At 54.5% G+C, this 24,377-nt stretch overlaps 1 long non-coding RNA gene across 1 annotated transcript, besides 4 other annotated features; it reads left to right on the top strand.

Annotated features, from left to right (window-relative positions):
- Positions 9,289–9,846: an enhancer, noted in NCBI's record as "H3K4me1 hESC enhancer chr4:3685923-3686480 (GRCh37/hg19 assembly coordinates)". NCBI's record gives its function as "activates a minimal SCP1, AML or CMV promoter by ChIP-STARR-seq in naive H9 embryonic stem cells {active_cell/tissue: H9 hESC(naive)}" and the evidence as "EXISTENCE:reporter gene assay evidence [ECO:0000049][PMID:30033119]".
- Positions 9,847–10,406: an enhancer, noted in NCBI's record as "H3K4me1 hESC enhancer chr4:3685363-3685922 (GRCh37/hg19 assembly coordinates)". NCBI's record gives its function as "activates a minimal SCP1, AML or CMV promoter by ChIP-STARR-seq in naive H9 embryonic stem cells {active_cell/tissue: H9 hESC(naive)}" and the evidence as "EXISTENCE:reporter gene assay evidence [ECO:0000049][PMID:30033119]".
- LINC02171 (long intergenic non-protein coding RNA 2171) lies at positions 16,187–20,449 on the top strand. Its single transcript, NR_034136.1, has 3 exons — positions 16,187–16,871; positions 17,361–17,439; positions 20,181–20,449. It is a non-coding gene; the product is annotated as a long intergenic non-protein coding RNA 2171 (long non-coding RNA).
- Positions 18,446–18,740: a silencer, noted in NCBI's record as "tiled region #9480; HepG2 Repressive non-DNase unmatched - State 13:Ctcf, and K562 Repressive non-DNase unmatched - State 13:Ctcf". NCBI's record gives its function as "represses a minimal TATA promoter and a strong SV40 promoter by Sharpr-MPRA in HepG2 and K562 cells {active_cell/tissue: HepG2 | K562}" and the evidence as "EXISTENCE:reporter gene assay evidence [ECO:0000049][PMID:27701403]".
- Positions 23,199–23,700: an enhancer, noted in NCBI's record as "H3K4me1 hESC enhancer chr4:3672069-3672570 (GRCh37/hg19 assembly coordinates)". NCBI's record gives its function as "activates a minimal SCP1, AML or CMV promoter by ChIP-STARR-seq in naive H9 embryonic stem cells {active_cell/tissue: H9 hESC(naive)}" and the evidence as "EXISTENCE:reporter gene assay evidence [ECO:0000049][PMID:30033119]".

Here is a 24,377-nt window from a genome sequence, read left to right as displayed (position 1 = left end):
TGAGTAATAAACATATGGAAGGAGGCTCAACAGCATGGGTGATCCAGGAATACGAATGGGGACCACACTGAGACACGTCTGCACAACCTCTGGACAGCTAAGGCTAAACAGATCGACAACGCCCAGCATGGGGCAGTATGTGGGGCACCTAGAACTCTCTAGCATTGACTGCAGGAACGTGAAAGAGGACAATCTCCTTGGAAAACAGGCTCACGGTTTCGTACAATGTTAACTATAGGACGTGGTTTGACTCTGTGTCCCCACCCAAATCTCATCTTGAATTGTAATCCCCAACGTTGGGGGAGGGACCTGGTGGGAGGTGATTGAATCACGGGGGTGGATTTCCCCCATGTTGTTCTGGTGCTAGTGAGTTTGCATGAGATCTGGTTGTTTAAAAGTGTGTAGCACACCCCCCCCCTTTTTCTCTCCTGTTGCCATGTGAAAACGTGCCTGTTTCCACTTCGCCCTTTCACTGTGATTGTAAGTTTCCTGAGGCCTCCTCAGCCATGCCTCCTATACAGCCTGCAGAACTGTAAGTCAGTTAAACCTCTTTTCTTCATAAATTACTCAGTCTCAGGCAGTTCTTTATAGCAGTGTGAGAGTGGACTAACACACTATACAATCCAGAACATGTCTATGCAAAGACTTGTGCACAAAGGCTTTTTATTCGCAATAGTCCCAAACTGGGCACAGCCCAAATGTCTATCAACAGGTGAATAAGCAAAACAATGTGGTCCCTCCATACAACAGAGTCCTGGTCGGCAGTGAAAACGGGGAACTCCCTGTGCACAGACCCAGATGGATCCTAAAAGCATGCTAGTCAAAGAAGCCAGGCACCAAAGTGTGCATACTGCATGGGTCTGTGTAGAGAAAATCCCAGAAGGATAATTCTAACCTGGGTGACCCAGAGCATGTGCCTGAGGCTGGGGGAGGACGGACAGGGAAGGGATGCAGAGGCTTCTGAGGTGACGGAAATGCTTCATGTCTTGAGTGTGGGGTGGCTCTGCAGGTGCATAAACTTACCCAAACTCACCAAATGGTAGAGTTAAAAGCAGTGCATGTTATTGTATGTAAATCATAAAATTTAAAAACATAGAATTATGTATTATGGTATAAGAATTATAAAACTTAAAAATTGCTAACTTCCCACCCCTCTCCCCATCCCACTCATCCTCTATTTATTTTCTGTATAACTTAATGACTTCTAGCATACTATTTAATTTACTTATTTATTATGATTTTTTTCCTGCCTCTTCCTGAGCAAGAGAAGGGATTTTTATTTGTTTTATTCATGGATGGATTGCACAGAGCCTAGGACCAAGCCAGGCACTTAGCAAATTCTCAGTAAATATTTGCTAAATTAATCAGTTAGTGAGCAAGGAACAAGTCAGAAGGACTTGCCCTTTTAGATCACAAGCATTTCTGTAAAGTTATAATATGTTTAAAGTAGGTGGTTTTGAGCAGGGATGGGCACTATCACCAATGGAAAGTAACAGAGTGCCCAGAAAGGGATGCAACCACATAAAGAAATGACCCCAGCAGGGTGGGCCACAGGTCTGCACCAGGAGGAAGGTCTCCCTTCATAAACGATGCTGGGAAAATGGTTATGGTACACGTGAGAACGAACTGGTTGCCTTCTTCACAACAGATACAAAAACTCACATCTAGGTAATTTAGTGCTTTAAATGTGAAAGACAACACTTTAAAACGAAAAAAAGGAAAACTATTTTTATAACCTCAGATTGGGTAAGGATTTCATAGCAAGCCACACAACCCACCAACCATAGCAAAATGACTGATCCGTTTAGCTCCATGAAGGTAGTAACTTCTGTTCGTTATAATCCAGCATGTATTCTCTTTATTTTTTAAAAAAATGCCTGGTGAAATATCTACAAGGAAACGAAATGGAGCTGAGATTTTGATGCAAAAGATATTTAAGTGATTATGGTAAAAAAAAGAACAAGACACCAGAAAGAAAGTGAAAAGACAGTAATATACTCAGTGCCACACACATAACTCAACAAAGGATTTTGGTCCAGAACATGTAAAGAGCATTCACAAACCAACAAGAAAATAACAGTGACACAATAGAAAAGCACATAAAGACAGAAACAGGGTTGCACAGAAGAAGAAATACAAATGGCAGCTAAACACTCATCCATTATTACCTCAACCCTTATGCAAATTAAGAATTGCAAATTAATACCACCATGAGGTATCCTGTGAGGCCTGCCAGGTAGCCCAAGGTAAGACATCTAACAACAGCAAGGGCTGTGAGGCAGGGACCTGCAGGGACTCTTCCGCTCAGCCAGAGGGGTATAAATGACACAGCGCTGGTTTGGGCAGATGAACATCCCACTCCCATAGCCCCACAGCTGACCGCAGGTGAGCCTAACCCTTGAAGGAGCATTTGCTGAGCGGCTGTGGTGTGCTGGATACTCTCAGCATAGTTCACTCAACCTTCAAAGCATTTTATAAGATGGCGAGCATCATTTTAAGAGGCCATGCAGAAACAAAGTGGCCAGTCCTGGCTGGCCCGCTGCCTCTCCCATTATGCCAAACCCTGGGATATGGCCGTGGGCGCCCAGGAATCTCCTCTCCTGGGGTGATGCTGACATAGGCAGGGATCAGCACCCTAGAGATAAGGCAGGCAGGTTCCTTACATGGGAGGCAGCATGGAAATATTCATGTTACTCAGCTATTCAAATTATTTTTCAAGTGGGTCGGAAACACCTGTTTCTTTACTATCGTGAGGCATCATCAGCCTAGTGCAAGCCATTCTGCGGGAAAGAAGCCTGCGCCCTGTCTGGCAGGGCCTGGCTCATCTCCTCGTCTTTGGAAACTCCATTTCCCCCATAATGGAATTGGAAAGTTCCTTATGATTATTTAACAGTCGACGCTGAAGCACGGACCCCTGACATGGGCCCTGGGCATCCAAAGAACAAAGACACAGCCAAGGCCCCCAAGCCCTACCTGCAGGAAACTGGGTGCAGTCAGTGAACAGGAGCCTTGGGCCGCTGCAGTCGCGAGGCTGGGTGGCGGTGGGCCTGGAATTCGCTGCCGCCTGGTCAGCCTTCAGCTAAGTGGCCTGCCTGGAAGACACCGTAGCTCCCCATGGCAGGGCCCTGGGGCCACCTTCCTCTGCGCTGCTCTTGGGCCGGGTGTGAAGTTGTCGTGTGTAAGATCCCTGGAGCGAGATCCCGGGGTTTCAACCCCAGTCCTTGCAGGATGAGCCAGAGGCCTTCGGCATTGCCCTGGCTTCACTGTGCCTCAATTCCGTGGTGGGTAAAATGGGGCGAGGACAGAGCCTCCCTGATACTGCCCCAAGGACCCAAAGTTAATACAGGTGAGACTCGTTCAGAAGGGCCCTGCACAGGGTGAGTACAGACACACGTCAGCCGGTGGGATTACTATGGCTTCACAGTGTACATGCAGAGGACTCTAGCAGTGAAAGCTTAGCCCGGCCCTCCCCTGCAAATCCCAACTCTGCTGCAAACACGTCCCCAGCAAAACTCCAGATCCCACAACCTCAGCCTGCTCTCCTGCAGGAGGCTCACCTGCTTCCGTCACCAGGGACCTTGTCCTGCCCAGACCTGGAAACCTCAGAGCCCGTATCAGTCAGGGCCGGCCGGGCCAGACTGCGGTAGCCCTCAAGCCGAATCCCAGGGACTAGAGCAGGACAGCCAGCGCCCCACCCCCATTCACGCAGTCCCTCGAGGACGCAGGCTGACAGAGGCTTCACCACTCTGGCTCTCAAAGCTGCCACCCAAGGGGATAGCTATGTGCCCTCCTGTCCACGTCACTGGCCGAACTCACCCATACCCTGCCCGGCTTCTGAAGCAGGGATCCTGTGGGTGGCCGTGGCCAGCAGTGCCGCCTCCCGAAGCCATCCCTGGCGCCACCTTCTCACACCCAACTTCAGTGATGCTTCCACACATCCCGCCGGCTCTGCCTCCGAGTGTACTTGGCGTTCCATCTGCTCTCACCACCTCTGCCGCCCGACCCACGCCCAGGCCGCCGTATCCTTTGGAGACCTGCTGTCCCTGCCCGGCCATCCCCCCTTACCTCCTGCCCACAATCTGGTTCAATCCCACGATGGGGAGCTTTCGGAATTCAGGCTCCCCTGCTGCCCACAGCCCAGGCAAGGTTCACAGGCCTCCACCATGAACCAAATCCAAACTCCCATGCCTTCCAGGTGGAAGCTGGGCAGCCCCTGCATCTGTCCTGAGAAGGGCATAAGCCATCTCCCCTGCACCTCAGCTCCCAACGGCCCCCTCCCTGGACGAGGCCCTCTCCTCCACCCGCTTCTGCACAGGACAGAAGATGATGTGGGCTTCAGGAATCACACGCTGCAGAGGCCACCAGCCCCCCGACCTTGCCACACGCCTCTCCGAGCAGCCCAGAGACACCGCAGTTTCTCATACGACGTCCTGGAGGCTTGTCAGGGGCGGGGATTCAAAATAATGTCCTCGGGTTGACCATTTCAAAGCAAGCAGTGCACCACGGATGTCCCCGTGGCCTTACCTGTCCGTCAGAAGCGTGACTTTGAATTGCATCGCAGACTTTAGATTTCCTTGGATAACTGCCCAGAGTCAGACACTGTCATAGTCCATCTTGTGCTGCCACAACAGAATACCGTAGACTGTCATTTATAAAGGAGAGACATTTATTTGGCTCACTGTCCTGGAGGCTGGGAAGTCGAGGTGGAGGCAGTCCCTGGAGAGGGCCTTACTGCGTCCTCCCGTGGCAAGAGCCGCAAACAAAAGGGGCGGAACTCACCTTCCTAACAAGCCCACCCCCACAATCACGACACCGATGCACCCGTGGTGGCAGAGCCCTCGTGACCACACCGCCTCTTCCAGGCCCCACCCCTCAGCACCGCGGCCGGCCGTGGGATCCAGCTTCCACCGCGTGAGCCTCTGGGGACGCTCTCAGGCCACGGCAGGCACGCAGGTGTGTCTCAAGTTCTTCTACCAATAATCAAAGCCTCTGATGCTCCTATTGCTTGTGTGATTTTTTAAAATTGTCGGCATCACAGACTATCGGGATCATTTTTCACAATTTTCAATATTCCTTAAAGCAGTGCTTGTCACCTAGGTGGCCTCGATTCCTGTTCTTTGGGTGCAATTTGAAACATGTGGCCGGCTCCTTACTGTGGGATGTGAGGGCTGGTGGTGAATGACCCCTGGTCACACAGCCAGAAGGGGCAGCGCGTGGACAGGGGCCTTCAGGGAGGTCTGACTGTGGCCACAGAGCCTGGGCCAGGGAGGGGGTGGGCGTCCGGTCATCTCAGGATGGCTGCACCCACCTGCACCAGCTTCCTCTCCCACCCTCCCCAGGCCCCCATCACCCCCACTGCCACTACCTGTCCCCTAGCCACCTCCTGCTCACCATAAGGGATTGCACTTGCCCCGCCTCCTCATGGCACCTGCTCTGGGCTCAGAGGGCGGCTCACACACACCTCCATGGTGTGCTCCCCCACCGGTGGGTGCTCCCTGTCACCTGCACCTCCTCCCTCAGGGCCTTAGGGACCCAGGTGGAGCTGGTCACTTCTGCCTCCCCTCTCCCATCACCCACCACAGCCACTCACACCCAAGACAGAGTCGGGCTCCAGGCCTCTGCGGCCCCACGTCCCCAGGGCCCCGTCCCAGGACTGCCCTGATCCCTTGCAGAGTTCTGGGGTGTGTGGCAGGGGGCACAGCACATAGAGCTGAACTGTAAACAGCACCCCATGCAGTTACATGAGCATCAGACATTTCTGTCACTCAAGACATGCAGAAGAGACAAATCGGGGAGCGCTCTGTATGACTCACACGACCGCAGCTCGACTGCCAATCCTGCGACCAAGCAGAGAGGTGAGGTCACTGTGCAGTGCAGAACACCGCAACGTGAGCCTGTCCTGTGTTCTCTCCAACTCCCGTAAAGTGTTAGTTTTAAACTTCACTTCGTCATCAACATTTAAAAACTAGGACATTTTACCAACCAGCCAAATGTCTGGCCTCTCCTAAAAAATCCAGAGTTCAGCCCACCTAGGGCCTACACCCGCTCAGCACAGCTGGCTGGAAGCAGCAGCCCCCCAAACCCCCCTCTCCACCTCAACATCCCCCCCAACTCCTGCCAGTCTCCCACCCACCCAGCCCCACCTCCAGATGGACTGTGGCCTCCAGTCCCCCCCAGACCTTCTGGCCTCTCGGCTCACGCCACCACCTGCCTGGCCCTGCGGGCGCTGGGTCCTCAACAGCCCTGCCAGGCATGCTTTACAGTTGCAGAACAAAACCAGATGTGGCCCCGGAATGCACTAAGGGCATGCACTGCATCTCCCGCACCCGGCCTGGCTTCGCGGGGAAGATGGCACCACTGCACAGACTTGGCCTCCTAGGGCCTCCTGGGAAAGAGTCCAGTCTCCATCCAGCTCCCACGCTGGTGCTTCTAGACCACTCCTCCATCTTTCGCGTGGCTCCTCTCATAAATGGTGCTTCAGGCTTGATTCATCTTTTACGCTGGTTGCTGTTAAGGCCTAAGAACCCGCACCTGCCCAGCATCCATGGAGTCCCATCCTGCCGCGACCATGTGCTCGGTACTTCCAGAATGTTTTGTTGTGGTTGAACCATTTCAGCTTTCTTTTCTCTTTTCTTTCTTTCTTTCTTTCTTTTTTTTTTTTTGAGATGGAGTCTCGCTCTGTCGCACAGGCTGGAGTGCAGTGGTGCGATCTCAGCTCACTGCAAGCTCTGCCTCCTGGGTTCACACCATTCTCCTGCCTCAGCCTCCCGAGTAGCTGGGACTACAGGCGCCCGCCACCACGCCCAGCTAATTTTTTGCATTTTTAAGTAGAGACGGGGTTTCACTGTGTTAGCCAGGACGGTCTTGATCTCCTGACCTTGTGATCCGCCTGCCTCGGCCTCCCAAAGTGCCGGGATTACAGGCGTGAGCCACCACGCCTGGCCCATTTCAGCTTTCTTGGTGCATAGCCGTATGGGGTAAGGAATGGATAATATTCCTCTCTCTAACTCCCATGCCTCGCATTTGGGTTTCATGTCAGATTACCCTGACCAGCCCAAAAGCATGTGGAATAATCACTGTGACACGAGCTCCACCCTGATACTGATCTCAGTAGAAACATGTGCCATGCTTCAGGCTCATTTTTTTGGGCAACTGTTTTAGACACGTGTTCTTTGTCAGATTAAGGAGACAGCCTTTTCTTTCTGGCATGCAAAACTTTGTTTTTAAATTAAAGAAGTTGGATTTAATTAATTAATATGTTATATTAATCTATCAGCATCTAGCAGTATCTGGCATTTAATAAGTGCCCGACAAATATTTAGAAATAAATGTATAAATGTATGAATCTAATAAAACTGCAGTTTATTTTCCTTATCCTACTCTTTTATGTGATTTATTGTTTTTCTGAATGTACAACCTTTGAATTTCTAGAATAAGCTTTCCTTGGTTACAGAAGATTAATCTTCTCCCGTGACGTGATGCTGGATTTTATCTGCTGGTATTTTGATTGGGTTCTGAGCCTATATTCGTGATGTGCTAGTTCTGTAGTCTGTGTGTCTGTGTATGTCATGTTTTACAGATTTTGACATGAACCTAGCTTCATAAAAATTAATTAGGGGGTTCTCCATCTTTTTCTCTCCCCTGGAAAAAAAATTGATAGAGCTCTAGTATCATCAGTTCTTCTGATGTTTAAAAGAAGTCACTGGAAAAACCACCAGACCCTAAAGCTGTGGGAAGAGGCAATGGTGAGAATTCTTCAATATCTTCCTTACATATTCAGGTTTTCTTCTTCCTGTCTTGACGTGATCTTGATCATCCATATTTTCCAAGAAAATATCATTTTTATCAGAATGCGTAGATTAGTTACTTAGAACCTCTTCAGGTCTATTTTTGTGTTCCCTTTCTGTTTGCTGGTTTAGAATTCATTTTTTCTTGTTCAAATGGGCTGGAGGTTTGTTTCTGTTGGAGAGTGTGTGTGCACACCTGTGCCTGTGTGCGTGCCTGTGTGTGTGCACGTATGTGTATGTGTGTGCATGAGTGTGTGTGCATGTGTGTGTGTGCATATGTGTGCACACGTGTGTGGGGGGGGTGGGTGGTAGGGTAAAGCTCATAGATCCATGTATCAATTCCGCCATTAATTAAACCTACTGTTAACGCCACTGATCTCTGCTCTGATCTTTTTTATCTGTTTTGACTTTCAGTGCCTCAGATCAAAATACCAGCAGGTAAAATCCAGAGGGCACTGGTGGCTGAGGATGAGACCTGGGGTCTCCCTGTGCAGGGTGCAAAGTGACAACTTCAGCTTCATTGCAATCTTCTCAAGTCTTTCCCCCTAAGGTTAGGGCGCCCGTTGTCTCTTAGGGAAGAAAGATGTCCCGGGATCCAGGTCACATGAACCCATGGACATGTGACTGTAATGACTGTTCAGAACTTGAAAAGAGCGAGTTTCAAGGCTGCTGACAAGGGAAGTGTGGGAAGAGGTGTGTGGCTGGACCCCCGGGAGTGGGGGTCTCGGTGATGAGCTGGACGAGATGCCTTCTCATGTGGATATCTTCCAGCCTCACTCTCCAGCTGCCTTAGTGCATATGAGGGCATGTGTCTGAATGGTCATGTATGAAGGGTCAGTGCAGTAGTGGGGGGCCAACAGCACGGACACCCCCTCACGAAGGCCGCCCTAGCTGCCCTCATTCTTGTATGTCCAGCCTGTTGACAGCCCAGGCCAATGCTGACCTCCCACGAGGCACTGTCCCAGGCTGCCCTATTGGTAGGTGGATTCTGGTAGCCCCTTCTCGTGATGGAGGGGCCGGTGGAAAGGCTGCGAGGAAGCTGGGGCTGTCACTCCACACCTGCACAGAGAGGCTGGATGCTTGTCCTCAGCCATAAATGCCCTCGTGGAAGGAGATACGTGTTTGGGATGTGAATTGCCTTTCCCAAATCCCATTCAATTGTCAGCATCGTCGTCTGTGGTCCTGCAAACACCTATTCACTCCCGAGGTATCTCGTCCAACATTATTTCTGACCAAGAAACTCAATTTTCTCTGAAAGAAAGTGTAGCTCTGGGCTTTTGTCCCTGGGTTTCGTGGGCCTAACTTACACGCCGTTCCTGGGCACAGCTGGCCTGATGGAGGAATAGAAGGGCCTGCAGGAGACCAGCTCTGGAGCTGGATTCTACAGGGGGATGGGGCACAGGCTTTAAGTGAATGACTAATGCCTGGCGCCATTTCCCCCATTTCCAGTACACTCCATTGGGAGCCACAGGCAGGAGGTGAGAGCAGCCCCCGAACTGTTACTCAAATAACCCATTAAACAGTGCTCAGCCGCCCTCCGTGGCTCTGGGCCGGACGACCTGGAGGGTCCGGTGTTGGTGGGAGGAGTGCTGTCTTAGGAAACAGCTGTGGTCCCTGCAGGTTAGGAACTGAGATTGCTGTCAGGCCTCTGGTGGGCTTTACCTTCCAGCCAGCAGACAGGAAAGGGCTTGCCCTGGGTGCTAAGCAAATCCTCAGAGACACGGGGGCCAGGAGGATGCTATAAGTCTCAGGGTGCCCGCCAGCATTCCCATACTCAGTAACACGGGACAAAGAAAACGACCAGCACAGACAGGCCCTGGAGGTCTCAGATCCGCAGAAATGGAGACGGGCCGCCTGACCACCTAGCCGTGGTGGGATGGAGGGTAGGGGGAGCCTGGGATGCAGTGAGCCCCCGAAGTGGGTGTCTGCCTGCAGTGAGGCTAGCCTGGGGTGAGGACCTGTGTGGCTTCAATCCCCTGGGGAACACGAGCCGGACTGGGAAGGGAAGGAGCTCCAGGAGCGGGGATGCCAGCCAGTCCCCAGGGGAACTCTGGGGCAGTGCAAGTTGGACATCGGAGTGTCCCCACTGATGGCAGCAGCCAGGGCGTTGACACTCCTGCCCCTTCCGCCACTGGCCCGGAGCAGGGGTGCCTCTGGCCCTCCAGCGGGCAGGTGAAGCACGTTCCCCACAGAGGCAGCGATAGCTGTGGGGGAGGTGCACAGCTGGGGTCCACGCACGGCACCAGGACCTGGAGAACACAGGCGGGGGACTGAGCTGCCGAAACCGTGGGTGACAGGGAAACCCCGAATGATCCTGATGCTGTGAGAGGTTTGAGGACAAGCATCTGAGGGCGCAACACCATCCCATCTCACAACAGCAAGGAAAGGGGCATGAGTGGGTCTCGGGGAGGAGCGGCTGGGCCCCAAACATCAAGTTCAACACGCTTCCTCGGTGTCCAAGCAGGGTGTCAGGCGTGTAGGCGGATGGTGCATCTGGAGCTCGAGGCGCCGCTGGGGCTGTTGGGGTGAACGGTGATCGGGGCGGGTGGAGGAGGTGGGGCGGCGAGGAGATGGAGGAGCGAGGGCAGTGGAGAGAGGATGAGAAGCACAGGCGCGGCCAACACGAAGATCAGGGGCACGTGGAAACCTACAGACAGACTGAGGAAAAGGGCGACCCCACCTCCGCAGCTGGGAGGGCCACCAGCCAACCTCCAGGCCCAGCGTGGGGCCCGCGGCCTTCACCGTCCAGCAGAGCTGCGGGGAGGGGACCTGACTGGGGGTCCCAAGGAGAATGGGAGGTGGGGCTGTGGGGCCTGTTTACAAAAGGAACGGAGTTTGCAGCAAGGGGAGCAGGGAAGTGGGAAGTCACAGGACCACAGTGTTCTGCACCCCGAGTCCAGCCACACCCCCACCAAAAGCCCCCCCCGATATCCCCTCCGGCCCTGTCCCAACGTCACACTTTCTCCTTCAGTGTCTGGGTGTCTGTTCTTCTCAGGAGGCTCCGAACTGCAGCAGGACAAGGGTTGGGCCTTCTGGAATAATCCTGCAGCTGGCTGGGGTTCGGAGGTGCTGGGGGAGAATCACAACGTGAGCAGAGTACATACGCGGGTCGGGCATCCTGCCCAGGACATGCACCTGTGGCCTCAGGAACCCTCTCCCTTCACAGATCCTCAGCATCATCCTCTGAGGTTGGTTCTCACTTTGCAGCTGAGGAAACTCAGGCACGGAAGTCCCATCATCTGGTCACTTCCCGGGTGACTGCTCAGTAGAGCAGATTCAAACCCAACCTCCCAGCTCCAGAGTCCAGCTTCCACTCCCTGTGCTCCCGGGAACCGGTCTTCTGCACCAAAGTCATTTCCAGTAACAAAATATTCCCCCTGTTATGATCCCACCCACCTCATCCTGTAATCCCCTCCTGGGTGTGCTTTGGGAGGCCCTAAAACCAGGGCTCACCCAGGACACACACAGCCTCAGCGTCTTTGCAGGCCCATTGTGACCAGTGGAGGGTCTTGACCTCGAGTCGCCCAGGTTCTTGGTGTTTTGAACAAAGAATTGGATAAAATGCACAAACGAAGCAACGAAAGAGTGAAGCAAGAAAGCACAGATTTACTGAAATGAAAGTACACTCCACAGAGCGGGAGCCAGCTGGGGCAAGCGGCTCAAGGGCCCTGGCCGCAGAACTCTCTGCAGTCCAAATACCCTCTAGAGGTTTCCCATCCGTTACTTGGCCTCACCCCACGCAGACGAAGTAGTGGCCCATGACCAGCCCTGAAGGCCGGAGGGGACTCATCAGAGGTCCCCTCCACCCTTCATCTGTGACGCCTGCGAAGGGAGCAGCCCCAATCCCTCCTGCCTGTCCGCCCCCACCATCAACCTGGGTGTGGAGAGGTGGGGGCCTCCCCACAACACTCAGTTTCTGGAAGCCAGCATGAAACAGCCCCAGGCTCCCTGCCTCCAGACCCCACTCTCCTGCCTCACAATGGCTTGTTTTGGAATCTTACCTATTGTTTTTTGTGTGTGTGTGTGGTTTTTTTTGTTGTTGTTTGTTTTTTTGAGATGGAGTCTTGCTCTGTCACCCAGGCTGGAGTGCAGTGGTGCGATCTGGGCTCACCGCAAGCTCTGCCTCCAGGGTTCCCACCATTCTCCTGCCTCAGCCTCCCGAGTAGCTGGGACTGCAGGTGCCCGACACCGCGCCCAGGTAATTTTTTTTTTTTTTTTGTATTTTTAGTAGAGATGGGGTTTCATCATGTTAGCCAGGATGGTCTTGATCTCCTGACCTTGTGATCCGCCTACCTCGGCCTCCCAAAGTGCTGGGATTACGGGCGTGAGCCACCGCGCCCAGCCCCTATTGTTTTTAAGTATTTAAGTTTCTTTTTTTCTTTTCCAATTCTGCCTGTATTTGTGAGCCTGAGGCTGATTTTGGTGTTCTGGAAATTTAGGTTAGAACGTGAGGGTGTGTAGATGTGTGTCCATGTGGGATTTCTGTGGAAAGGCTGGTGTGGTGGCTGTGGCTCAGTCTCAGCAGGGGCCCAGATGGCAGAGAGCCCCAGCACCGATCACAGGCAGGCCCAGGCCGGCCACCGCTCCCCAGGAAGAGGGGCTGCCAGCCCTGTGGGCCAGGTTGATGAGATAGCTTTCCTGTAACCAAATGGGGGCTTAAAACACCAGACATTCATCCTGCCATGGCTCGTGGCAACCTCCTGTTTGTTCTCCGAAAACATTGTTCAAAAGCCTGATTTTGGTCTTTGGAGGCCCAAAGACCAAAACGAAGATGCTGGCAGGGCTGTGTTCCTTCCAAAGCTCTAGGGGAGGCTCCATCCTGCGTCTTCCAGCTCCCGGTGGCCGCGGTCCTTCCTCAGCCGGTGGTGCATCGCCCCGTCCCTGCCTCCGCCTGCACACAACGCCTCCCCTCGGGCTGCTCCTCCTCTGTCTGTCTCAAATTCCCTTCACATTTTCTCATATAAAAAAATTTCTCCTGATGTGTCACTGGGTGCAGGTCCCACCCGGATAATTCAGGATTGCCTCCTCATCTCAAGATCCTTAATTACAGCTGCAGAGACCATTTCTCCAAATAAGACCCCTGCACAACTCCAGGCACTGGGGCGCCTTTGGGTGGCCACCGTTGAACCTATGATGACAAATGCTGGCCAAGCCAGTGAGCAGAAAGGTGATTTAACCTTTCTTTGAAGTCCACCCTCAGAGAGAGGGTGCATAACTCCTCACTCCCTACGTGTGGAAGAGAGGACAGTGAGGCAGGAGGGGAGAGATCACCATCCCGAGGAGAGAGGGGAGTGGAAATGCACCAAGGCATGGGGTCCCGGCGGGATCCTGCGCCCAAGGAAGACACCGAGGACGGAGGAGACTGGAATCCAGCTAGGCTATAGTTCACAATGATGCATGCGTATCGGGTTAGTAGCTGTGACACATGCCCCATGCAAACGGCACACGCTAATAACGGGGAAACTGGGTGGGGCGCGGGCAAACTCTCTAGACTCTCTTCTGCATTTTGATGTAACCTAAAACTGTTCCAAAAAATAGTCTATGAAGACTAAAAAGTTGAGCCGGGCGCAGTGGCTCACACCTGTAATCCCAGCACTTCAGGAGGCCAAGGCGGGTGGATCACTTGAGGTCAAGAGTTCAAGGCCAGCCTGGTCAATATGGTGAAAACCTCTCTCTACTAAAAATACACAAATTAGCCAGGTGTGGCAGCGTGCGCCTATAGCCCCAGCTATTCGGGAGGCTAGAGAATCACCTGAACCCGGGAGATGGAGGCTGCAGTGAGCCAAGATTGAGCCACTACACTCCAGCCTGGGCGACAGAATGAGACAACCTCCCCCACCCCGCCAAAAAAAAAAAAGACTAAAAAATAGAAAAAAAAAAGAAGGCACGCATAGGTCAGAAGTGGTGAGAGAAGAGGCAGGCACCCACATCCCCCACCCCCAACAACACACACGACCCCAGCCCCGCACCCCCAGCCCAGCGAACCCAGGCCTTGCGCCCTGCACACCCACTGTGCTCTAGGCACCCCCAGCTGTCCTCCCGGAGGCACGGGGCACCGGCGCAGTCACAGGTGTGAACGTCCACCTCCAGCCCACCTCCAAGCAGGGAGCATGGAATGACTGCTCCCAAATCCCAGAATGAGGGGCTCTGCTGCAGGGCAGGACCAGGACCGCCGAACCTCAAGCCAACTGCATATAAGTCTACTGAGCAAGCGGCCCGCCCGGACCTGCAGGAGACCCTTGCTGATAGGAGAAGGCGGAGGTGACTTACTCTCAGCCACTGCGGCCGCTGGGGCTGGGCGGGGCCGGAGCAGCTGTCTCCCGTCACGCATGATGCATCCGCCCCGAATCCACGGCTCGTGGCAACCTCCTGTCCTCTGAAAACATTGTGCAAAGGACTGATTTTGACTAAAGGAGCTCAGGGCAGCCACTGTGAAAGAGATGTGTGTTTGTCTAAATTATTTAGAGTGAGGGAAGCGGGCTCGGGGGCAGGAGGCGATGAAGTTCTCTTCTGAATTTCATTTCAGTCAGCCAGGCTTGGAGCCGGTCAGCTGCTCCCCCAGGAACGCTTGTGGCTGCAGGCAGAAGGCTCCTCAAGCCCCCAGGAACCCCTGGGAAGAGCAGGGCCCCCCAGAGCGAGTCCCAAGCCTGTGGGAAGAGGGGGCCGAGCTGAGGGTACGCAGGGCTGGGGTCAGGGGAGCTGGATCAGGCCTGAGTCTGGCCTCTCCTCTCCGCTGCACCGAGATGAGGAAGTGGCCAAGAAATCCAGTCCAGTCCAGAGCTTGCTTCTTAAACAGCAGATGCTGGTGAAATCAATGAATCTGTGGATTCCTAACACGGGAAATGGGCGACGCGGAGATGCTGTCTGGAGGACGATGCGTCCCGAAACCTCTGCCCAGGCTGCCCTGAGCCCATGCCCCCTCCAACATCTCTGAACCCCACATCTCCATCCTCTCTGTCATGGCCGTTTCTGCTCCATCCCCTGCACCCATAACTCCGGACCCTTCCGGACGCCCATAGCAGATACCACGCAAGGCCGGGCTAGGCCAGCGGGGATCCTGGGGCTCATCAGGACCTGTCTGGCACCCACGTATCCGCCCTGCCTGGGGAAAGGCCTTTCAGGGCACCCTGTGACCCAGGCTCAGACTGCAGGGCAAAGTCCAGGGGGCCTGGGATTCAGAGGCCACAAAGCTCAGGTCCTGCCATCCCAGCACCAGGCCAGGGACAGAATTGGGAAGGGGTTGGGGTGCCTCTGCTGTGCGGGCAGCCTGAGAGTTTCAGGGAAAGAAACAAGGTGAGGAGCAGGTACTTGGAGACCACAGAAATGGTTGCAGAGTCAGCCCTTGCCAGGCACCTCACTCCTTACTCCTCACCTCCTATATCCTCACTCCTCAGCTTCTCACCTCCTCACTCCTCACCTCCTCACTCCTCACCTCCTCACCTCCTCACTCCTCACTCCTCACCTCCTCACTCCTCACCTCCTCACCTCCTCTCTCCTCACTCCTCATCTCCTCACTCCTCACCTTCTCACTCCTCACCTCCTCACTCCTCACTCCTCACCTCTTACCTCCTCAGTCCTCACCTCCTCACTCCTCATTCCTCACTCCTCACCTCCTCACTCCTCACTCCTCAGTTTCTTACCTCCTCAACTTCCCTCCTCCTCACCTCCTCACCTCCTCAACTCCTCACTCCTCAACTCCTCACTCCTCACCTCCTCACTCCTCACTCCTCACCTCCTCACCTCCTCACTCCTCACCTCCTCACCTCCTCACTCCTCACCTCCTCACCTCCTCACTCCTCACCTCTTACCTCCTCACTCCTCACCTCCTCACTCCTCATTCCTCACTCCTCACCTCCTTGTTCCTCACCTCCTCACATCCTCTCTCCTCACTCCTCACCTCCTCACTCCTCATTCCTCACTCCTCACGTCCTCATTCCTCACCTCCTCACATCCTCTCTCCTCACTCCTCACCTCTTACCTCCTCACTCCTCACCTCCTCACTCCTCACCTCTTGCCTCCTCACTCCTCACCTCCTCACTCCTCACCTCCTCACTCCTCATTCCTCACTCCTCACCTCCTCATTCCTCACCTTCTCACATCCTCTCTCCTCACTCCTCACCTCCTCACTCCTCACCTCCTCACTCCTCACCTCCTCACCTCCTCACCTCCTCACCTTCCTCACCCTCCTCTCCTCCTCACCCTCAGCTGCTATTTTCTGCAGGGCCTGGGCTTCACTCTGCTGCTCCTAGCTTGCCTTGTTCTTAGTCAACAGTGAACCACAGGCCAGCTGCAGCTTCCTCATATTGTGATGTAACTCAGGCAAGGGCTGGACACAGAGCTTTTACCACGCCTTCTGTCACTGAGAGCAAAACAGAGCTGTGGGGGTCTCGGCTTCCCCCACTGCACAGCAGCTCCCGAGCTGCAGGGAGAGCGGGAGTGCACGGGCACCAAACTGCGCCTCTTGGGGGTGCTGCAGCGGATTTTCTAACAGATATTTTCCTCTCCTTTATTCTAGGATCTGGAAGAACTGTGCCTCACCTCCGTCTCTCTGCCTCTGACTGCTCCCTCTACTCCCCAGGCCTTGCTGTCAGCACCTGCAACAGAGCTGTCCCTGCTGTGGTCTGGGGAAAGTTCCAGCCAGGCCCTCTGTGGCGCATCTATCCCTGGGGTGGGGCATCCAGGGTATTGAATCTACAAAATGCATCCATTTCACCTCCAAGTCAGCTCTGTGCACACCAAGCCGTGTGCAGGATAGGCTACCCTAGAGAGCCTGGGTACCCACGCAGCCTTCCACGAAGCCCCACCTACATGGCTGCTGCAGGTTCTCACCATCCTGTGCTCACCGGGAAGGCTGGCAGGTCCACACCGGAAACCATGGGCTGGGGAGAAGCAGGGCCTTGGTGCTAGAGAGACCTGCCCAAGCATTCTTCTGCAAGCCCCGAGACAGAGGAGTGAGCAAGCCTCAGGGGCGTGACAGGTGCTCAGGAGAGAGCAGGACACATGCAGAACCTGGAGAGAGCCAGAGAGGGACCGGCCACAGAGAAGCCCATCGCCTGCCAGCACTGACGTGGACGTTGGGAAAAGGTCAACCCCCAGCCCCGGGCTCCTCCCGCTGCTCTCAGCCCGGCCTGCTGTGCACCGTTCGGCTGGGTGGGGCTGCAAATGTACCCCGCGTGCTTGTGCTCCAGCCGCATCAGCCCCGGCCCCCAGTGCTCACTGGGTCCCCACTGCAGCAATGGAGCAGCGAGGAGACCAGTCTGGAGCCATCTAGACCCACAATGAGGATAGCAGGATTCCTGGGGACAGCCCAAGGCATACCTGTCCTTCATAAATGCTGATAAACAGCGTAAAATAGAGCTGGGAAAGATTAAAACCACAGAGCCAGCGTCCAGAGCGGGGCCTGCCTGTCATTGGTGTTTATGTCGCCATAGCAGCGACCAGGCAGGTGACTTGCTCCTGGGGGCAGGCCCCTGTTGAATGACCTCCCAGGATGAAGCACAGATCCCACCCCCTTAGTCCCCAGAACTCCTCACCTTGCAGCCCACTCCTCACACCAGGTCCTCTTCCCTGCAGGTTTCTGCTGGTGGCCCAGCCCTGGCTGGGATTCCTCACTCCCACGCCTCAAGCCTGAGAATCCTTCCGGAAACACAAGGTGAGCACATGCGACATGCAGATTCCACAGGGTCTTTTCCACATTAGCCCCATGCCCAGTGCTGTTGTTCGCCTCTCTACAGGTGGGAAATGGAGACCCAGAGTGGTCAGGAGGCAGCTCCAGGGAGGCAGAGCTCTGAGCCACACTTGTGCCTGTCTGTCTCCACAACCCAGGTGGCCTTTCCAGGGGGAGGGTGCCTGAGTGTCCCTGAGGCCCAGCAGGTGGCTGTGTCAGGAGATCTGAGCAGCCCTGGCCCTGGTGTAAAGAAAGCCTGGGACTCTCTCGCCAGAACCTAAGGGGTAGGTCGTTGGCAGAGGCAGGGGCAGGCACAGCGTAGAGAGGCGGCCCAGAGGCACCTGACACTTAGGAGCGTGGATGCTGACTCTGCTGGGGGCTTTGTCCCTGAGTGAAAGTCACTAAGCCATTGTCGTGTTCTAAAGCGTACATCTCAGAATCTCAGGGTCTGCAGAAGACTTTGGGGACCTCGGTCCCCACCCTCCCATGCTTCCTCCCCAGCTGGAGCCCCACCTCCCCACCTCCCCACCTCCCCACCTCCCCACCTCCCCATTGTCCTCGGAGTCCCCAGCTGGCCTCTCTCAGCCCCCTGGGAAGTTCACAACATTTGCAGCCCCATATCCCAGAACAAGCAGCTGGGCCTGTCCCTGGGGCGGTGGGACCTATGCTGGCTCCACAGCTGCGGGACAGGTTCCGGGTTCCCGGGTGTCCGCCCTTGTCTGAAGAATGTACACCCATCGTGGTGAAACCATAAAATCCTCGCCATACGACAATGCTGATGGCAGCCGTGGGCCACCGAGCCATTTCTCGATTCCCCGTGCCCACACTTGGCCCAGAGTATCACACCTAATCCTTCCCGCAGTGTGTGCTGTTAGTGTGAGCCCCATGTCATGGATACGAGGCACAGAGGCAGAGTGCTGGTAGCCTGTGCCCTGGTCGCAGCCCGGGGTTCCCTGGTCATCCTGATGCCAAAGCTCACCACTTCCCTGTGCTGTCCCCTCTCAGAAAGCCGCCTGCAATGCGCCTGTGGTGGGGGGTGGGGTGGCGCATGTGTGCCTAGGAAACGTGCCTGTGCCTCTGTGGATGACGTCGGGACTCGACGCCTCCTGCAGGAGGCAGCCTGGGGCTTCTGGCTCATCTCTATTCTGGCTGGCAGGAGCCAGCCCTTGTCAAGGCTGTCTCGGCCGCTAGAGCCGGGCTTCAGGTGTGAGCCTGTGCCTAGGACATGCGCAAGTCCACAGCACAGCCAGTGCATGCCGGGCCTCAGAGCCTCCTGTGTGATGGGAGCCCTTACCTGCTCTGAGAGTGGCGCAGCTCTCAGGAGGGGTCACCTCCGCCTTAGGCTCAGCTCAGCCAGACAGGCTAGCCTCTTACACTGCACACAGTAGGTGCTCAATAGGGAGTTTTTGGTTAATAAATTACTGAAGGAAGGAGGAAGAGAAAGGAAGACAGGGAGGAAGGAAGGGAGGGAGGGAAAGAAGGAGGGAGAAAAGGAGGGAGGGAGGGAGGGAGAAAGAAGGGAGGGAGGAAGGGAGGGAGGGAGAGAGGGAAGGAGAAAGGGAGGAGGGGAGGGAGAGAGGGAGGGAGGAAGGAAGAGAGGGAGGGAGGGAGGAGGAAAGAAGGGAGGGAAGAAGGGAGGGAGGGAGGGATGATGGGAAGGAGGGAGGGAGAAAGGAAGGGACAGAGGCAGGGAGGGAGGGAGGGAGGAAGGGAGGAAATGCTCTTTGTCCCCGCAGCCTGCTCTGAGCAAGGCCCTGGAAGACACAGGTGTCTGCTCTGTGGCTCTGGGCATCCTGGGTCCACGGAGGTCCACAACGGCTCAGCAGGGTGTCCTGGAACCACAAGAACAGGATGAGGGTTGTGACCAGGGCAGAGGCCCCTTGGACAGTGACCCTGAGGCAGCTCTCCAGGGACACAGGGTCAGGACGGGGGTCGGGATGAAGGAGGCAGTGCAGACAGGAAAGCTGGCCTGGACCCAGCCCCCTGCACATCAGTGCAGCTGCAACCCCCGGCCTCCACCTCCCCACAGCCCTCCTGTGCTCCTGGCTCCAAGATCACGGCCTACCCCACGTCCATGTGACAGGGCCCTAGTACTGGGGAAAAGAGCAGCAGCAGCATTACATGTGCAATTGGGAAAATTATGAAAATTATTGATATTTATAAAAAGACCATTTTTTCCAATCCTATGTCTACAAAGAGCCACGGGTCACTTTTTCCTGTGCCTGGAGTCTCCTCTGCAATGGAAGGTGGCAAGGATCCTTGGAGGGCCGCCGACTCCACATTCTAGGGAGGAGATAGCCGGAACCACCTAGAACATCCTGTTTTGCCAGAAAGCAAGGATGCTTTCCAGACACCAGGGGTTCTTCCGGAAGGACAAAGCATCCTGCTTGAAGGCTCTCCCTCCTGCCAAGTTATAATAATCTGAGCACAAAAACAATAATAATTACAACACTGATTAATTAAATCAGTTGAGTTTCAGAAGGTCTCTCGGTCCGTAAGGCTCCTCACAGGAGGAAAGTTAACACACAGCGTGCCACCCCTCATGGTGCGGGCTGCAGACTTTCTTCCTAGGGAGGGAACTAGGCCAGGGCTGCCCTGCCGGACCCACCTCAGGCCCAGCCATGAAGGTGCTCCAGGAGTCTGTTCTGGCCTGTGCCACATCCAGGCTTGGATGGGGCTGGAGATACTGGCCTTGCATCCTTCTCACTCCTCTCCACTTCCCGTAGGCTGGACCTGCACCTGCCAGGTGACCATGGCCTCGGTGTGGGAGCAACATGGGGAGACCTGGGTCCCTGAGTGGCCATGACCATCGACCTGGAGCAATCAGCTCAGGACTGTTAGGTGGGAGCAGCAATCATCCAGCTCCTTCAAGCTGCAGCATCCAGGGGTCTCTTCATTCCATTATGGATATAGCCTAAGAAATGGTGACAGTAAAGGGTCTCATACAACACGTCCCATTTTTATTAATTTTAATAAATAGGAGAAATTGAATATACATGGGTAGTCCATTTGTTGAACTAAGCTTCTGTCTGCTTATAAAGGTTGGATACACATTTGCTTTTCTGTCTAAGAGGAGAAGAGTGTTTGCAGGAAACTGAGACAGCAGTGTCTGTGTTAAGAGTAGGAAGGCAGGGCCTGCTCCAGAACCTGCCTCCAAATCCCAGAGACCACGGTGCCCCCAGAGTGGCCTGCCCGAGCCCACATCCCAAAAGGCACAGCTTGTTCACAGGCTCCGTCCTTCAGCACCCAAGACAGGACACCATGCCAGTGCTAATGACCAGTCCACATATAACAGTCTGGGCCAGGGAACCCCAGGGAGGAAAACCACAAGGCATTGCTGTGAACTGAAGGTTTGCATCGCCCCCAGATCCCCTGTGGGATGGTGTATTGGTCTGTTCTCACACTGCCAATAAAGACATACCTGAGACTGGGTAAGTTATTCAAAAAAAAAAGGCTTAATTGACTCATACTTCCACATGGCTGGGGAGGCCTCAGGAAACTTACAATCATGGCGGAAGGGGAAGCAAACACGTCCTTCTTCACATGACAGCAGTAAGGAGAAGTGCAGAGCAAAAGAGGGGAAAGCCCCTTATAAAACCATCAGATCTCCTGAGAGCTCAGTCACTATCACGAGAACAGCATGAAGGTAACCGCCCCCATGATTCAATTACCTCCCACTGGGTCCCTCCCACGAGACACAGGGATTATGGGAACTACAATTGAAGGTGAGATTTGGGTGGGGACACAGCCAAACCATATCACATGTATTGAGAGGTGAGGACTTTGGGAGGTGGTTAGGGTCAGACGAGGTCCTGAGGGTGGGACCTCACAGTGGTCCCTTATGAGAAGAGACTCCAGGGAGATGGCCTCTCTCCACCATGTGAGACACAGCAAGAAGGCGCCGTCTGCAAATCAGGAAGGGAGCCCTCACCACACACCATATCTGCCAGCCCCTTGCTCTTGGACTTCCCAGCCTCCAGAACTATGAGAAATAAAGAGCTATTATTTAAGGTCCCCATCTGTGGTATTCTTACAGCAGCCCAAAGTGACTCAGACAGACACACATCCTAAAGAAAACACCAGGGTGCAAAACAGAGAAAGATGAGAGCCCAAAGAGTCTATCAGCATAAGCCGTGAACTTGAACAATGAAAGGAAGCTCAGCTGCACAGGGGCTGCAGATCTGGGAGACACTCCAGGTCCATGTCATGTTCTCCAGACTCCACGGACACCCTGCGGGACCAGAGGAGGTGTCAGTGAAGGCAGGTGTTACTGTAACACCAGAATGTCACCCAGGAGTGGCGGCTCCAGGAGACAGGAGGACAGGGAGGCAGAGGGGGAGGGAGGCAGGAGAAGGGGAAGGAGGGAACAAAGAACAGATAAGACAATGAAAGGAATATTAACAGGCCACTATGTCGCCGGATTTTTAGGCTTGAAATCCAAAACCGTATGTTCTGCTTTTTGAAGTGTTGAAAGCAATAAGGAGATAGATAGATTACTTCCATGATTTTAACTGAATGTTTAGAAGAGTTTCATTATAATCAATGTTTACATATCTGGGGAAATGTAATCTGTTGAATTCCTGTTTTGATGTATGAGTCATGTAAGCCCTGTGTAAATATTTAGAGAAATGTTGGCTGTTTGATGTCTTCAAGGAGTATTTGTCATTTATAGATTCAGAGAAGTGAGGCAGAGGAAAGGCCCCTCCTGGACACCCAGGTCCCTTGGCTTGAAGATCTCCTGGCTGAGTGAACCCACACTGCCCACCCCGTCCCACTGTTCTCCTGCTTGCAGCACCCCCAGAAAGCTCTTCCTTGGCACTGGCCCCCACTCAGCCAGGTAGAGACCCTGCCGGAGCCTTGGACCCTGCCCTCACCCTCACTGCCCCCCACGCAGGGCTGGGCTCCTTGATGGCAGTGACAGTGCTGGGCACTGAAGCCCTATAGCGAAAAGTGATGTCTGAGTGGATGAATGAGTGATTGACAGAACCCTAGAAGGTGGACTTCGTAAAGCAAAGAAGTGGCCTGGCGATGCCCCCACGCTGGTCTACACCTTCCACACCATCCCCATCAGAATCCCAGCTGACTTTGTTGTAGATAGATGGGGACGGAATTATTCTAGAATACATGTGGAAACACATGGGCCCAGAAGAGCCAAGGGAATCTCGAGAAAGAACAACCAAGTAGGAGGACTCCAGCTTCCAAGCCGAGCACACAGCGACAGCAGCAAGGCGGTGTGGCGTGGCGTGGCGCAGGGAGAGACAGCCAGACCCGTGCAGCAGACCTGAGGGCCACAAACAGGCCCGTTGTCTCTGTCCACTGACTTTCAACATGGTGGCCAAGGCCAGTCTGATGGGGAAAGAATCATCTCTTCCAGGAGGAGCCTGGACCAGGGTGCATGGCTCGGCGGCTCACCAGGTGCCTAATAGACATCAACCCAGGCCAGTTCTACAGCCGCCCAGGGAGCCCCTGCCCCGGGCCGGGCCCCAGAGGTACAGGGTGGAGCCAGGAGGCCTCAGTCTAGCCTAGGGGTATCACTGGAATAGAGTGAAGCAACCCCAGCTGGTGTGAACAGCAGAGAGGGCACATCCGAGACACGCGGGAGGAAGGGGAGGCAGCGATGTTCTCTGCCGGGGGCACAGGAGCAGTGGGGGCTCCCCAAGCCTGCCGCTCCCGGGACAGGGCTCCTGCCACAGCAGACATGGAAGCAGGGATGGTCCAGGGATCTTGGTCACCAGAGCCCCCTGCCCATGCGAGTGGGAAATTGCGGGAGACGTGGGCTGGGCCAGTCCCTGCACGCTCCGGACACACTGCCAAGGTGCTGGACCTCAGGTGGGCAGCAAGGAGCCTTTGGAAGGTGAGTAAGGGGGTCAGGGCTGCGCGTTCAAAGGTGGCCTGAGACCTACAGCATGAGGGAGGGAAGTCCAGCCTGCCGCAAGCCCTCCTCACCTCCACGCCTCCACTTTCCTGCCCCCGCCTGCAAGAGCGCACCAGGGTCCTGGCCTCCCCGGACCTCACAGGGGATGCACAGCCTGGCGGCAACACGCCCAGGCTCTGAGGAGGGCCGCTGGACTCGGACACAATGGTGTCGCTTAATAGATGTGTGACGGGGCAAGCTTGTTCCTTGCCTCCTGTGGGGTCACAGCAGCCTCTGTCTCACAGGCTGATGGTGCCTGGTTGAAACTAAACACTCAATAAATGTCAGTCATTTTCCTTACATAAAATCTGTGCTTTGAAGAGGCTGCTGAATAATTGGAAACTCTGGTTCCTGCTTCAGCTAAATTTGAATACTTAGATGGAAAACCGGGCCTTTTATTTTTACTGGGGAAGGGATTTAACTCAGTCTTTTGGAAGTACTTAAGAAAGCAGAGAATGTCTCTTTTCTCAGAGAATATTGTACCCTGAATCAAAACAGAGAGTCAAATTATCTTAATGGTTGTTATATAAAGTGATGCTTAGTCATTTTCTTAAACTATTTGTCTGAAATGGGAAATTTCTCTAAATCACATATAAGACTGAAACCAACTAAAATTCATTTTTCTCTCCAACAAAATCAACGGTAAGTGTCCCGCAGCTGAGAGTCTTCAAATCACAGTCATTGCAAGGACAATATTAATCACGGCACACGCGGCCCCGCCCGCATGTCAATACCCTCACCTACTGTCACATTCAAGGTGTCACCATCTCCAGCAGGCAGGCCAGCTGTGGCAGGGATGGACACACCACAGGGCCGGACGCCAGCCACACACTCACACCGGCTCAGCACCCAACCAGAGAGGATCTTCCGGAGCCAGCACCCCCGCCGGCGTGGGCCGCCTCCTTGGTTGCCAGCAACTCGGCTTTGAAGATGGAAAGTTTTGCCATGGGCCGGGGCTCTGCAGTTTGGCTTCTGAATTCAGTCCACGGGGACAGACAGCGTTCGCTAA

This window comes from Homo sapiens, chromosome 4 (assembly GCF_000001405.40).
Source record: "Homo sapiens chromosome 4, GRCh38.p14 Primary Assembly".
NCBI lineage: Eukaryota > Metazoa > Chordata > Mammalia > Primates > Hominidae > Homo > Homo sapiens.
Note: the sequence above shows the minus strand (reverse complement) of the source record. Positions and strands in the feature narration are given on the sequence as shown.